General features: G+C 52.6%; 1 protein-coding gene across 3 annotated transcripts, besides 6 other annotated features; it reads left to right on the forward strand.

Moving 5' to 3' along the window:
• Positions 1,123-1,624: an enhancer, noted in NCBI's record as "H3K27ac hESC enhancer chr1:249132357-249132858 (GRCh37/hg19 assembly coordinates)". NCBI's record gives its function as "activates a minimal SCP1, AML or CMV promoter by ChIP-STARR-seq in naive and primed H9 embryonic stem cells {active_cell/tissue: H9 hESC(naive and primed)}" and the evidence as "EXISTENCE:reporter gene assay evidence [ECO:0000049][PMID:30033119]".
• Positions 1,132-1,531: a silencer, noted in NCBI's record as "silent region_2050". NCBI's record gives its function as "represses an Ori minimal core promoter by ATAC-STARR-seq in GM12878 lymphoblastoid cells {active_cell/tissue: GM12878}" and the evidence as "EXISTENCE:reporter gene assay evidence [ECO:0000049][PMID:35858748]".
• Positions 1,189-12,482, forward strand: ZNF672 (zinc finger protein 672). Of its 3 annotated transcripts, none has more exons than XM_047430823.1 (4): positions 1,189-1,516; positions 7,448-7,601; positions 8,531-8,627; positions 9,156-12,482. In XM_047430823.1, the coding sequence occupies exon 4, from the start codon at positions 10,240-10,242 to the stop codon at positions 11,596-11,598; it is 1,359 nt and encodes a 452-aa protein (XP_047286779.1). In that variant the 5' UTR covers positions 1,189-1,516; positions 7,448-7,601; positions 8,531-8,627; positions 9,156-10,239; the 3' UTR covers positions 11,599-12,482. The 3 variants fall into 3 exon arrangements, with proteins under 3 accessions (XP_047286779.1, NP_079112.1, XP_005270393.1); NM_024836.3 differs by having other exon boundaries at positions 10,017-12,482; XM_005270336.3 differs by having other exon boundaries at positions 10,140-12,482.
• Positions 1,625-2,124: an enhancer, noted in NCBI's record as "H3K27ac hESC enhancer chr1:249132859-249133358 (GRCh37/hg19 assembly coordinates)". NCBI's record gives its function as "activates a minimal SCP1, AML or CMV promoter by ChIP-STARR-seq in naive and primed H9 embryonic stem cells {active_cell/tissue: H9 hESC(naive and primed)}" and the evidence as "EXISTENCE:reporter gene assay evidence [ECO:0000049][PMID:30033119]".
• Positions 1,822-2,091: an enhancer, noted in NCBI's record as "active region_2879". NCBI's record gives its function as "activates an Ori minimal core promoter by ATAC-STARR-seq in GM12878 lymphoblastoid cells {active_cell/tissue: GM12878}" and the evidence as "EXISTENCE:reporter gene assay evidence [ECO:0000049][PMID:35858748]".
• Positions 2,432-2,511: an enhancer, noted in NCBI's record as "active region_2880". NCBI's record gives its function as "activates an Ori minimal core promoter by ATAC-STARR-seq in GM12878 lymphoblastoid cells {active_cell/tissue: GM12878}" and the evidence as "EXISTENCE:reporter gene assay evidence [ECO:0000049][PMID:35858748]".
• Positions 5,733-5,782: an enhancer, noted in NCBI's record as "active region_2881". NCBI's record gives its function as "activates an Ori minimal core promoter by ATAC-STARR-seq in GM12878 lymphoblastoid cells {active_cell/tissue: GM12878}" and the evidence as "EXISTENCE:reporter gene assay evidence [ECO:0000049][PMID:35858748]".
• Positions 12,483-12,529: the final 47 nt, after the last annotated feature.

Consider the following 12,529-nt stretch of genomic DNA (forward strand, 5'->3'; position numbering starts at 1 on the left):
GTTATCCCTTCCTGGTTCAGGCCCTGATCACTCCAGACCTGCATCCTGTGTCTTGCTTTTCAGCTTTCTTGCCTGCTGCTACCAGATTTGTCTTCCTTAATCCGTGTTGTCATATGCGGGTCAGCAAACACTCATTGATCATCTGTGGCGTGCTGGCCCTCTGCTCATGCTTCAAGGGATCAATTGTTCATGAGTAGGACAAGGCCTGTCCCTTAAGCTATGGGGGAACAGTATTCATCTGACTATAACAACAGTATCAACATGCGGGAGGTTGCGCTGCAGCATAGATATGTCCCCAGGACTGAGGACAGAGAGGGGCATTCTAGCATAGGTTTATGGAGATGGCATTTGACTAAGGTTTTACAAATTAAAACAGAGAAGAGGGTAAGAGTTTTCCAGGCCAAGCATGGCAGGTCGAAGTACACTAATTAGGGGACCCCCTGAGCAGAGCTCAGAAGAGTGGTACTAAGTGACCTCCAAAGGAAGATTACAGCAGTAAAGGACCTTGAGGGCCATCCCTGGGCGTCTGTTCTGATGATATAGGCACACTAAAGGATGGCCAGGTTCCCAAAATGCATTTCCGGAAAGGAATACTAGTAGCATTTCCTAGTAGAAGACATTAGGGTCAACATTTGGACAGGCAGTTCAACCAGGAAGCTCATGGAGAGGCAGCTGGCAAGCCGACCAGGAGTAACCCCTATCCCTGGCATTGCGACTTTGGGCGTATCATTAACTTGTGGGGTCCTTACCTAAAATACAGGATAAATGCTCATATTTCCCCTGGCAGGGTTGTGGTGAGGGTTGAGAGATAATAGCTATCCAGTCTGGCCTCACTTAATAAGAAGGCGCTAACTTAACTACGGGGATGGCTGCCGCGGCCCCGTCCGCGCCGGGCACCGGCTACCGCGCCGGAAGCACCGAAGGGTACACCTGTCTGTGTCCCGCCAGCGGCCGCGGGAAGAGCTGCTGGAAGACTAGACGGTGGACCGCCTAGCTCCCGGGACTCCGCGGCTGGGGGCTGAGGCGCGCGCAGGGATCGGCGCCCTTTCCTCTGATTGGGCGGGACGAGGCCCAGGGGTGGGCCAACAGACAAAGCGGGAGGCAGGAATTGGTTAAGCCAGAAGAGAGGGCGGGGCCTTGGCCCGCGCGGGAGGCGGGAGTGGAGTCCCCCCGCAGGCTTTCTCTTTTAGCCCCGCCTGCTTCCCGGCTCCAGCTGGGGCCGGAGAGGCTGAGTGGTTGGTACGCTGCTCGCTGGCCTCCCAGTCTTCCCAGCAACCGGTGACACTGCCCGCGCCAGACTGACCACTAGCCGACGCGGGCGAGAGGGACAGGAGCGTGACCTCCCCATCCCGAGGGGCCGGACGCTCGGGCGCCTCCCCGCTCCCCCCACTCGGAGGCCGCGCGCGCCGTTAGCCCCTTCCTCGCTCCCCCGCCCCAGTCCCGCAGTCCGGGAGGCGGGGGTCGGCAGCCGGCTGAGTGGGAACCGCGCGGTGTCTGAGGAGGCAGTCGGCGACCGGTGAGGGGACTGAAGGGCAGGGGAGGGCAAGGGTGGCTCGGGGCAGCAGTCCTCAGCTGTGGCTAGTCTTCTCCCATCTGCCTCGGGCGACTGGTGTCTGCGGCGGTCGGGAGCGCCGCCCGGGCTGCGAGTGACGCGGGGATACTGCGGGGCGAGCGATTGGCCGGACACGTCCGCGCGGCCTGCTCCTCCCAGGCCTTCCCCTCCGCCTGTCCTCGCTGGTCCGCCTCGGGTGACCTTTTCGGGGCTGGCGTCACCACGACAAACGTCGCCAGGCTGAGCCGACTTAAGGGGGCAACGGCCGCCACCGGGTTCTGGCAGCGTTAAACGTTCCCCACTACGTTTTTGGTGCCCGGTCTCGCCCTCCAAGTCGGCTGGCGCCACGGGCAAGGGGCTAGGGTAGGCTCGGGGTTGGGAAGGGGCTCGCTCAAAGAAAGTTTGCCCAGCAACTTGTGACGCGCGCCGACTGAGGCGCCCCAGGATTGGCTGCGCTGCTGTGGGCCACGGAAAGCGACCTGTTCAGGTGCCGTGTTCCGCATTCGGCGAATAGTTGTGCTTCGCTCTTAAGTACCAGGCACCAAGTCCCCAGATGAGTAGCCAGCTTCCCTTCTTTCATCTTGGAGCCCACAGTTCGCGCAAGTGGAGCTATGGAAGGCCCATGCTGTGCTGTTCTAATCATGTGAGGGATTCTTAGGGGTTGAGGGGGAAGGACTGAAAACGGCTGCAGACCGTTTAGGATGCCTGGAGTGGAGACAGGAGTTAAGCCCCTTACTCAGAGTCGCTCTTAAGAACTGCCCAGGGCCGGGCACAGTGGCTCATGCCTGTTATCCTAGCACTTTGGGAGGCCAAAGTGGGAGGCTCTCTTGAGCTCGGGAGTTCAAGACCAGCCTGGGCAACATGGTGAGAACCCTCGTCTCTACAAAAAAAATAATGATAATAATAATTAGCCGGGTGTGGTAGCACCTGCTCATAGTCCCAGCTCCGCAGGAGGCTGAGGCTGGAGGGTTGCTTGAGTCCAGGAGGGCGAGGCTGCAGTGAGACAGTGATCAAATCACTGCATTCCAAGCTGGGTGACAGCAAGACCCTGTCTCAAAAAACAAACAAACAACAACAACAAGAAGGACTGTCCTAGGCAGAGTAAATCCTAAGCACCGGGCAACCGCAATTCTCAGTGTTAGCAATTTTTTTTTTTTTTTTTTTTTTTTGAGACGGAGTCTTGCTCTGTCGTCCAGGCTGGAGTACAGTGGCGCGATCTCGGCTCGCTGCAACCTCCGCCTCCTGGCCTCAAGTGATCCTCCCACCTCACCCTTCCCAGTAGCTGAGACTACAGACGGGCGCCACCACACCTGGCTGATTTTTGTATTTTTCGTAGAGACAGGGTTTCACTGTGTTGGCCAGGCTGGTCTCGAGCTCCTGACCTCAAGTGATCCGCCCGCCTTGGCCTCCCAAAGTGCTGGGATTACAGACGTGAGCCACCATGCCCGGCAAGATTTAGCAATATTTTGACCTTTCCATATGAAACACTATAATAATAGCTTTTTTTAATTTATTTTTTTGAGATGGAGTCTCACTCTGTCGCCCAGGCTGGAGTACAGTGGCACTATCTCGGCTCACTGCAACCTCTGCTTCTCGGGTTCAAGCGATTCTCCTGCTTCAGCCTCCCGAGTTAGCCAATACTACAGGCGCGTGCCACCATGCCTGGCTACTTTTTTGTATTTTTAGTAGAGACGGGGTTTCACCATATTGGCCAGGCTGGTCTCGAACTCCTGACCTCAGGTGATCTGCCCACCCCGGCCTCCCAAAGTGCTAGGATTACAGGCGTGAGCCACCGTGCCTGGCCAACTTTCTTTACTAAAGTTTTCCCATCCAGGAGGATCAGACATTCCAAGTCTACTGTCTAAGATCAGACAGCTAGTAATGGGAGGAACCAGAATTTGGATGCCTCTCTGGTTCTGCTACACAGGTTGCAGGCTCAACTAGTAAACCAAAGCAGAATATTTGTATGTGCAGTGCACAGTGCTGTGGAGGATATGATGACTGTAGTCAGAGTATTTGTATGTGCAGTGGATAGTGCTGTGGAGGATATGATGACTGCAGTCAGAGTACTTGTATATGCAGTGGGTAGTGCTGTGGAGGATATGATGACTGTAGTCAGAGTATTTGTATATGCAGTGGGTAGTGCCATGGAGGGTACGATGACTGTAGTCATAGTATTTGTATGTGCAGTGGGCAGTGCCGTTCAGGGTACGATGACTGTAGTCAGAGTATTTGTATGTGCAGTGGGTAGTGCTGTGGAGGATATGATGACTGCAGTCAGAGTACTTGTATATGCAGTGGGTAGTGCTGTGGAGGATATGATGACTGTAGTCAGAGTATTTGTATGTGCAGTGGGTAGTGCTGTGGAGGGTACGATGACTGTAGTCATAGTATTTGTATGTGCAGTGGGCAGTGCCGTTCAGGGTACGATGACTGTAGTCAGAGTATTTGTATGTGCAGTGGGCAGTGCTGTGGAGGATATGATGACTGTAGTCAGAGTACTTGTATGTGCAGTGGGTAGTGCTGTGGAGGGTACGATGACTGTAGTCAGAGTATTTGTATGCAGTGGGTAGTGCTGTGGAGGATATGATGACTGTAGTCAGGCCCTTTCCTCCAGGGACCTAACATTTGGGAAAATTGGATTCCAGACTAATACATCACTTTTAAAAAGCACTGAGTATCTTCTGTGTGCCCAAGTCCTTGCTAGGCCCAGGGAAGGTGTGAAAGACCTTATAGTCCTTTCTCTCTGATCTGGGGGGCTCTGGCCACTCTGGGCTTCAATGTTGCCTGTGTCTCAGAAGGACAGGACAAGCTCCCACTATGTATGTTCTCTCCTTGTCTACATCCTGTTGCCTGTGTCTCAGAAGGACAGGACAAGCTCCCACTATGTATGTTCTCTCCTTGCCTACATCCTGTTGCCTGTGTCTCAAAAGGACAGGGCAAGCTCCCACTATGTATGTTCTCTCCTTGTCTACATCCATACCTTCTCTATACTTCCCAGATTTCACAGGAAAATCTTTGTGAAACCAAAACTTTCAAAAGAATATATTTGGGCTCGGCACGGTGGCTCACACCTGTAATGCCAGCACTTTGGGAGGCTGAAGCAGGAGGATCAACTGAGGCCAGGAGTTCAAGACCAGCCTGGGCAACATGGCAAAACCCCGTGTCTGCTAAAAATACAAAAATTAGCTGTGGTAGCTCGAGCCTGTAATCCCAGCTGCTTGGGAGGCTGAAGCGCAAGAATCGCTTGAACCTCGGAGGCAGAGGTTGCAGTGAGCCGAGATCACACTGAGATGGCGCCACTGCACTTTAGCCTGGGAGACAGAGTGAGACTCTGCCTCCAAAATAAAAAGAATGTGTTGGCTCATGATCAGACTTGAGCACTTGGGCTGAGAGCAAACTGTCATTCCTATTTCCACCAGCTCCTTAGCTAGAGACTGAATCTGAAGCTGGAAGGAGCAACTTCTTTTGAAGTATTGGATTTTGTTTCTTTATGGGGGAAGGAAGCAAGGAGGGGCAATTCTGGTGCTCTGAATTCCGTTCCCCATCCGCACCTCCTAGAATAGGGCTGAAGTCTGTCCAGAGTGGAGAGGAATCCCTGCTTCCTGTTACATTCACTGACTAATAGATGCTCCTTCCAGCTTCAGATTCAGTCGGACATGTCTAAGGAGCTGGTGGAAACAGGAATAACAGTTCGCTCCTACCCCAAGTGCCTAAGTCTGATCGTGATCCAGATACATTCTTTTGAAAGTTTTGGTTTCACAAAGATTTTCCTGTGAAATCTGGGGAGTGTGGAGAAGGTATGGATGTGAACAGGGAGAGAACATACATAGTGGGAGTTTATCCTGTCCCTTTGAGACAGGATAGCCCACGCTGAAGCCCAGAGTGGCCACAGCACCCGAGATCAGGGAGAATAAAGCTGAGCAATGAGTACGAGGGAGGTGTGGAGGCAGGGGTGGCCTCTCTGAGAAAGGGTAGAGAGTCTTGAATGAAGGAGTGAGAGAGCTTTGCCAGTAGAAGGAATTGTAAGTGGCAAGGCCCCAAAACTCCCTCCTGAAGGCCAGGGAAACTTCTACTCCACACCCTATCTAGAGTGGGGAATGGATAGTTTGCTTCTATCTCATCTGGATTTCAGGGCAGTCTAGGGGTATCACAGAATCCTGGAGACAGCAGCATCACTCAGATCCTGAGGGGTAAGAATACAAGGAGAAGCCAGCAGAAGAATCACCTCTCCTGATGCAGCTACAACTCCCACCCTCCCACTGCCAGTTCCTGCCCCTCTTCTCATGGAGACCATTCCATTCCTGGGTCAGGGCCCCACGATTAACACAGCGCACACAGAGCACTCCCTGGGGCGCCAAGTGCTGGTTCTTGGGGTTGGCATTTTACCCCCTTGTCCCCTGGCTGCCTGGTGCTTCCCTGTGAATTTCACAGCCAGGTCTGTCCCTGCTGCTCACTGAGCTGCTGCAAGCCTCCTGGGGCCTTTAGGAAGGGGCGGGGCTGCCCTAGGGAGACTGAGAGATGGGCTACGTGGCCTGCTGACTTACTCCTGTCCCTAGACCCACCTGCGCACTTGTGCTGGATGACTGGACGAGCCTGTATAGGAAGCCCAGATCACATGGGGGTTACTAATAACACCCACCTCAAAGGACTACTGGGAGGACGAAAGGGAAACACATGTACAAACATGTGAGAATTCTTGTGTGTTAATACCAGTAACAACTGGTATGTATGGTTTCACCTTCTGAGAGTCGCAGTGAGAGAAGGTTTTGTGTAAGTCACAACCCCAAGTCCCTACCAGGTCTAGGTGTCCAGTTTCCAAAACAGCAGGTGGACTTTTCTGGAGAGGGCAGCTAGGAACTAGGGCCTTGGAAAATGAGAGGAACAGCTCTCCTCTGTGCTTACTGAAGCTCTGAAGGTCAGACAGGGTCAGTGACCTTTTCTCAGGTAAAGCCCTCCAAGGACTGAGGTGGGCCAGCCTCCTTTCAAATGTTCCAGGATTTGGAAAGGCCATTTGGACAAGCACTATTCAATAAAAATAAACTATAAGCCACATTTATAATCTTAAATTTTCTTTAAAAATGGGTAAAATATATTGTGATATATTTCATTTAACCTAATATATCCAAAAATATTTCAACATATAATCAATGCTAAACATTATTAATGAGGTATTTTGCATTCTTTTTTAATACTAAGTCTTTGAAACGAGGAGAGTATTTGGCTCTTACAAATCAACTCAGTTTGAACCAGCCATGTTTCAAGTGCTCAGTCACCACATGTGGCTCTGGGCCACTGTAGTAGACAGCATAGCAGGGAACAGTTCCCCTCAGCCCTATTCCCTGCTGCCCAAACCAGGTTTACCAACTCTGACTTCAAGATGACCGCTTGTTTCTTGTGAATCATGACTTTTTGAGGTCTTTTGTCCCACCCCAGAAATGCTGGCGTGGCAGAACAGATAACCAGGGAAGAAAAATCTTTATTCTGATTGAAAATAAGGATTTTCAATTATTTTCTTTTCAATTATTATTAAGGAAAAAAATGACATATGAAACTCAGAAGTTTATCTTGCCCCTATTATAGATATTGGTTTTTCCATTAGCTTATCTTCCTTCTTAGTACCTGTTTTGTTTCGGGTTTTTTTAGTTATATGTATAGTATTTGTTTTAAATGCTTGAAAGGTACTTATATACTTTATTCAACAATGAGAATTTTCACCAATTCACACGTAATTTCCCCCTTCCCTCTTTCCAAACTTTCCTGTACTTTTTTTCCAAAGTGAAAGAAATTTGGTGGTATAGCAACTGTAAAACTCACACTCAATCAGGAGAGTGGGGATTAGGATGATCTAGAAGTCAGTCTTTTTTTTTGGCACAGTAATAATTTTTCTTTCAGGTTTCCACTTCAAGCGTGACCCTTTTGCCTGTGGGATGAGCTCCAGCATGGGGTGAGGTACAGAAGAGAGACTTGAAGAGCGTGCCTTGGGACTCAAGCGCCAAACCTGTACCCTAGCGAGTGTCCTACTCCGCATCCGTAATGGAAGGAAATGGTATTGTTGTTTATATGCCGTTTAAGTCTACACGTTGGTATTTGTGCATTTGCCTTCCTTGGGCATGTGCCCTGGGAGGCAGTGGCCTGGGAGAGGGTGGGCTCCTAGACACATGGTTTGAGAGGTGCCATGGTCTCCAGATACCCGAGGAGGAGGCAGAGCACTCAGTGGGGCCTGAGCATTGCTTTCTTTGGCATTTGGGATCAGCCACTGAGTCTCCAGGAAGTTTTTATTTTCAGGAGGGCAAGCATTCCTCTGACCTGACATCTAACTAGAATCAGCAGCCAGTGTCTGGGTCGAAAGTCCCTCTGGAGGAACCAAGGAGCTCTCTAAAGTCTACTCCAGCCTGGGCGTGATGGCTCACGCCTGTAATCCCAGCACTCTGGGAGGCCAAAGCGGGTGGATCACCTGAGGTCAGAAGTTCAAAACCAGCCTGGCCAAGATGGTGAAACCCCGTCTCTACTAAAAATACAAAAATTAGCCAGACACAGTGTCACGTGCCTATAATCCCAGTACTCAGGAGGCTGAGGCAAGGAGAATCCTCGAATCCGAGAGGCAGAGGTTGCAGTGAGCCGAGATGGAGTGACTGCTCTCTAGCCTGGGCGACAGGGCGAGACTGTCAGAAAGTCTACTCCAGAGCTCCTGCTTGCATTTTTTGTTTAAAAATCATACTAATCATACTCTTTGTATAAGATGTCTGGGATTTAAAATACTCTAGAGCTTTGCCCCACCAAAAAAAAAAGTGGAGTGGGGGTGTGGATGAAACAAGAATGGTAAAATGGTGACTGATCTATGATACTGTTCAGGTTTTCGTATTTTAAAATGTCCATTAAATAAATACCCTCCTCCAGAAAACATTTCCCTCCCTTTCTTCCCCTGCTCAGTTGTAATTCACATTTTCCCTTTTACTTTATCTCTACTGGGCACAGCACATCTTACTCCAGAGGCACAAGAGGAGGACATCCCATGCGGCTACTCCTGCCCAGCGTGGTGGGGCAGCAGAAGCTCCAGAGCCCAGACTTGCAGGTTTGCTATTTTCACTTTACCCCATTTGTATCCAAAACATAAGGACCCTGTATATGGGGGTATTTTAACCAAAGTTCTGAGTATTTATGATGAACTTTCATCTGCTAAGAAGAAAGTGACAGCTGACCATTTTGTTTGTGTCCTCTCCCGCATCTGTTGAGCGACAAGGGGCTATACTGTACTAGCAACTAGACCTAATCTCCAGTAAGGCTGGAGACTGACCTGTGGCCCCTGAGAGAAGTCGTCAGTGCTGAGGCCAGGTGAGGAGGGCAGCCACATTGTGCTCTTGACTAGAGGGCATGTGAGGTTCTGTGCACATACTACAAAGGCTGACCCTGTTCCCAGACAGCTGCCCGGAGCAACCTGTCAGAAGAATTCAGGGATATCATGTGAGACAAATAGGATAATAGAGCAGATTTGGTCTCCGTAAAGGAGTTTTTCTGCTACTCCAGATTCTCAGATTCCTGTGGCTGAGACAGTGAGGAAATGCTGCAGAATGTTCATAAACAATATGTTTTTCTTGATCAGATTCATCATATTCAAACCTTCACAAACAACTTGGATATCCTGACAATTATTATAGAATGGATGCCCCTTGATTCTCCCCAGCCTTTCCTGAAAATGGGAAAAGTGTTCTTGGATAATGCCACCAACTTTTAATAATGTTTTTTGTGAATTATCTATGCTCCCGTTTTTACCCCTTTACTGGGTCCTGAGTTGCTTTCTCAACTTTGGGGCTGTATACTGGCATGGGGTAGTGTGTTTATCAAGTGCTGTCCAAAGCCAAGGAACAATATTTTGGGGTTTCTCAAATACCTTCCCTTGGCCAGGCCCCAGCCCCTTCAGTAACTTCAGGGTCTGAGCCCTTTGCCTAGGCTGTTGCTGCTGGACCTGTTTGTGCTTCATCACATTACCCGCTTTGTTCTTCCAGCCCAAGTCTGGCTGGGTTCATGTCAGTGACTCAGGAAAGCTGGGTTTTGGAGGAAGGCGTTGGTATAGTCTAAACGCAGGGGACTTCTCACTGCCCCATCCTGCCTTGGTCATTTCCTAATGCATCCCCAGACAAGGATCCCCATCTAAGGCCAGCGAACAGGCTTGGCGTTCCTTTCCCTCAGAGCAGTGTTGATGGTTCCCAGGCTAAATGCAAGCTCCCCTTTGAATCCATTCCTGTTTGTTCTCCAGGACACTTGTAGTTTCCCTCCTGCCCTTCCAAGTGGTTCAAGGACACCCCCTCCCTATTTCCGGGATGCCCATGGCTTTGCTTTGTCTTGGGGAAGGGAATCCTGGAGATGGACTACCTAAAGAAGTTATAACAAATAGGGAGTTCGTGTTCCCCTCTCCATTCCTTAGGAGCTGCTGCAGAGGCTCACAATGACCTTCTCCCCACAGGCTCACGGTGCAGGGTGAACCTGGCCACAGCTCACCCTGGAACAGCCACAATGTCTGCCCCTTAGAGAAGAACCCTGAAATCAGACCAGTTTTTGCGGCCTCCCCCTTTCCTCTCTGTTACAGTGCCCTTTCCAGGCCTTAAGAGAAGTAAAACTTAGCTGCAGCGTCAGGAGGTGGACCCCAGAGTGTGAGTGGCACGCTTCCCTGTGAACCCGTCCTCACCATGTTTGCCACATCTGGGGCAGTGGCAGCGGGGAAGCCTTACTCGTGCAGCGAATGTGGCAAGAGCTTCTGCTACAGCTCAGTGCTGCTGCGACATGAACGAGCTCACGGCGGTGACGGCCGCTTCCGTTGCCTAGAATGCGGTGAGCGCTGTGCACGGGCTGCTGACCTCCGAGCGCACAGGCGCACGCATGCTGGCCAGACCCTCTACATCTGCAGTGAGTGCGGACAAAGCTTCCGCCACAGCGGCCGTCTTGACCTACACTTGGGCGCACACCGGCAGCGATGCCGCACTTGCCCCTGCCGCACATGCGGCCGGCGCTTCCCGCACCTCCCGGCGCTGCTGCTACACCGGCGCCGCCAGCATCTGCCAGAGCGGCCCCGCCGCTGCCCGCTGTGCGCCCGCACCTTCCGGCAGAGCGCGCTGCTCTTCCACCAGGCGCGGGCGCACCCCTTGGGGACAACCTCTGACCCTGCTGCCCCACCCCACCGCTGCGCGCAGTGCCCGCGAGCCTTCCGAAGCGGCGCCGGGCTGCGGAGTCACGCGCGCATCCACGTGTCCCGGAGCCCCACGCGACCCCGTGTCTCAGACGCCCACCAGTGTGGCGTGTGCGGCAAGTGCTTTGGCAAGAGCTCTACGCTGACGCGACACCTGCAGACGCACTCGGGGGAGAAACCCTTCAAGTGCCCGGAGTGCGGCAAGGGCTTCCTGGAGAGCGCCACGCTGGTGCGCCACCAGCGCACACACACGGGCGAGAAGCCGTACGCATGTGGCGACTGTGGACGCTGCTTCAGCGAGAGTTCCACGCTGCTGCGCCATCGGCGCAGCCATCAGGGCGAGCGGCCACATGCGTGCGCCACTTGCGGCAAGGGTTTCGGGCAGCGCTCCGACCTGGTGGTGCACCAGCGCATCCACACGGGCGAGAAGCCCTTCGCGTGCCCCGAGTGCGGCCGCCGCTTCAGCGACCGCTCGGACCTCACCAAGCACCGGCGCACGCACACGGGCGAGAAGCCCTACCGCTGCGAACTGTGCGGCAAGCGGTTCACGTGCGTGTCCAATCTCAACGTGCATCGGCGCAACCATGCCGGCCACAAGCCACACAAATGCCCCGAGTGCAGCAAGGCCTTCAGCGTCGCCTCCAAGCTTGCACTGCACCGCAAGACGCACCTGGGCGAACGGCCAGCGGAGTGCGCAGAGTGCGGCAAGTGCTTCAGCCACAGCCGCTCGCTGTCACAGCATCAGCGGGCCCACACGCGCGCCCGCACCGCTGCCGCCGTTGCCATCCAGTCCGCAGTGGGCACTGCCCTCGTCTTTGAGGGGCCGGCTGAACAGGAAAAGCCAGGGTTCTCTGTGTCCTAGTTGAGGGAGGCTTGCTGAGGCTTCTCTAAAGGTGGTTGGGCAAGCACCTATATAGTATCACGGGGACAGTTGAGGCAACTCGTAGATGGAGATTTGGGAAAAGACGATGTGGCCTCCTACCTTTCCAGTTTCTGTTGGCAGCCCTTCACGTAGCCTCCTGCCTCGCCTCTACACCTACTACCCTGTCGGCCCTTTTGCCATGCTGTCCTCGTATAACTCGGATTCTCTCCTCAGGTGTAGGTGCAGGGAGTCAGGGAACCCTTAGACTCCCCTGTGTGCAAGAGCCCAGGTGTTGGTGTGTCCCTTTAATGCTACTGTGCTCTCTGGTGTTTCTGATTTTCCTGCCTTTATTCTGTCTTCTCTTGTCCTATCTCATTCCAGCCCACATCTTCTCCTTTCCTGATTACTTTTGTTGTCCTGCCTCTTCAGGTAATGGTCACAGATTTGGCTGTAGGCACGTTACCAGCCCTGTGGCTTCTTGACTCTTGGTTCCCTGTTAACTCTGTTTCTGAGAAATGTGGGTATGGAGGTGGGTGGGAAAGCTCACTTCCATGAAGGATGTCTCCATGCTAGGAGCTGCCTGCACCCTGGCAGAGGTGGCCAGTCACGTGAAGGTGGGCAGGGCCCTTAGCATGGCCACACATGTCCCCAGGGCAGATCAAGGGGCCTCTCAGAACCATGTTCCCCAGCCAGGTGAGGACCATTTTCACTGGGACCCAGGCCAAAACCATGTGGGTGCACAAAGCCAGGCACTGCCAAGTGGAACATGAGGTTATTTCCAAATCATGGGAGCCACCAGCAGGGAGAGGGCAGGATGGAAAATCCCCTGGAGCCGGTCAACTTTTTGCTCATGGCTAGTGAAATAAAGTTGTTTGAGTACTAGATGCCAAGTGCCGCCTTTATCAAACCTAAGGCTGCTGACCAGAGTTTG

The sequence above is a fragment of the Homo sapiens genome, chromosome 1, assembly GCF_000001405.40.
Source record: "Homo sapiens chromosome 1, GRCh38.p14 Primary Assembly".
Classification (NCBI taxonomy): domain Eukaryota; kingdom Metazoa; phylum Chordata; class Mammalia; order Primates; family Hominidae; genus Homo; species Homo sapiens.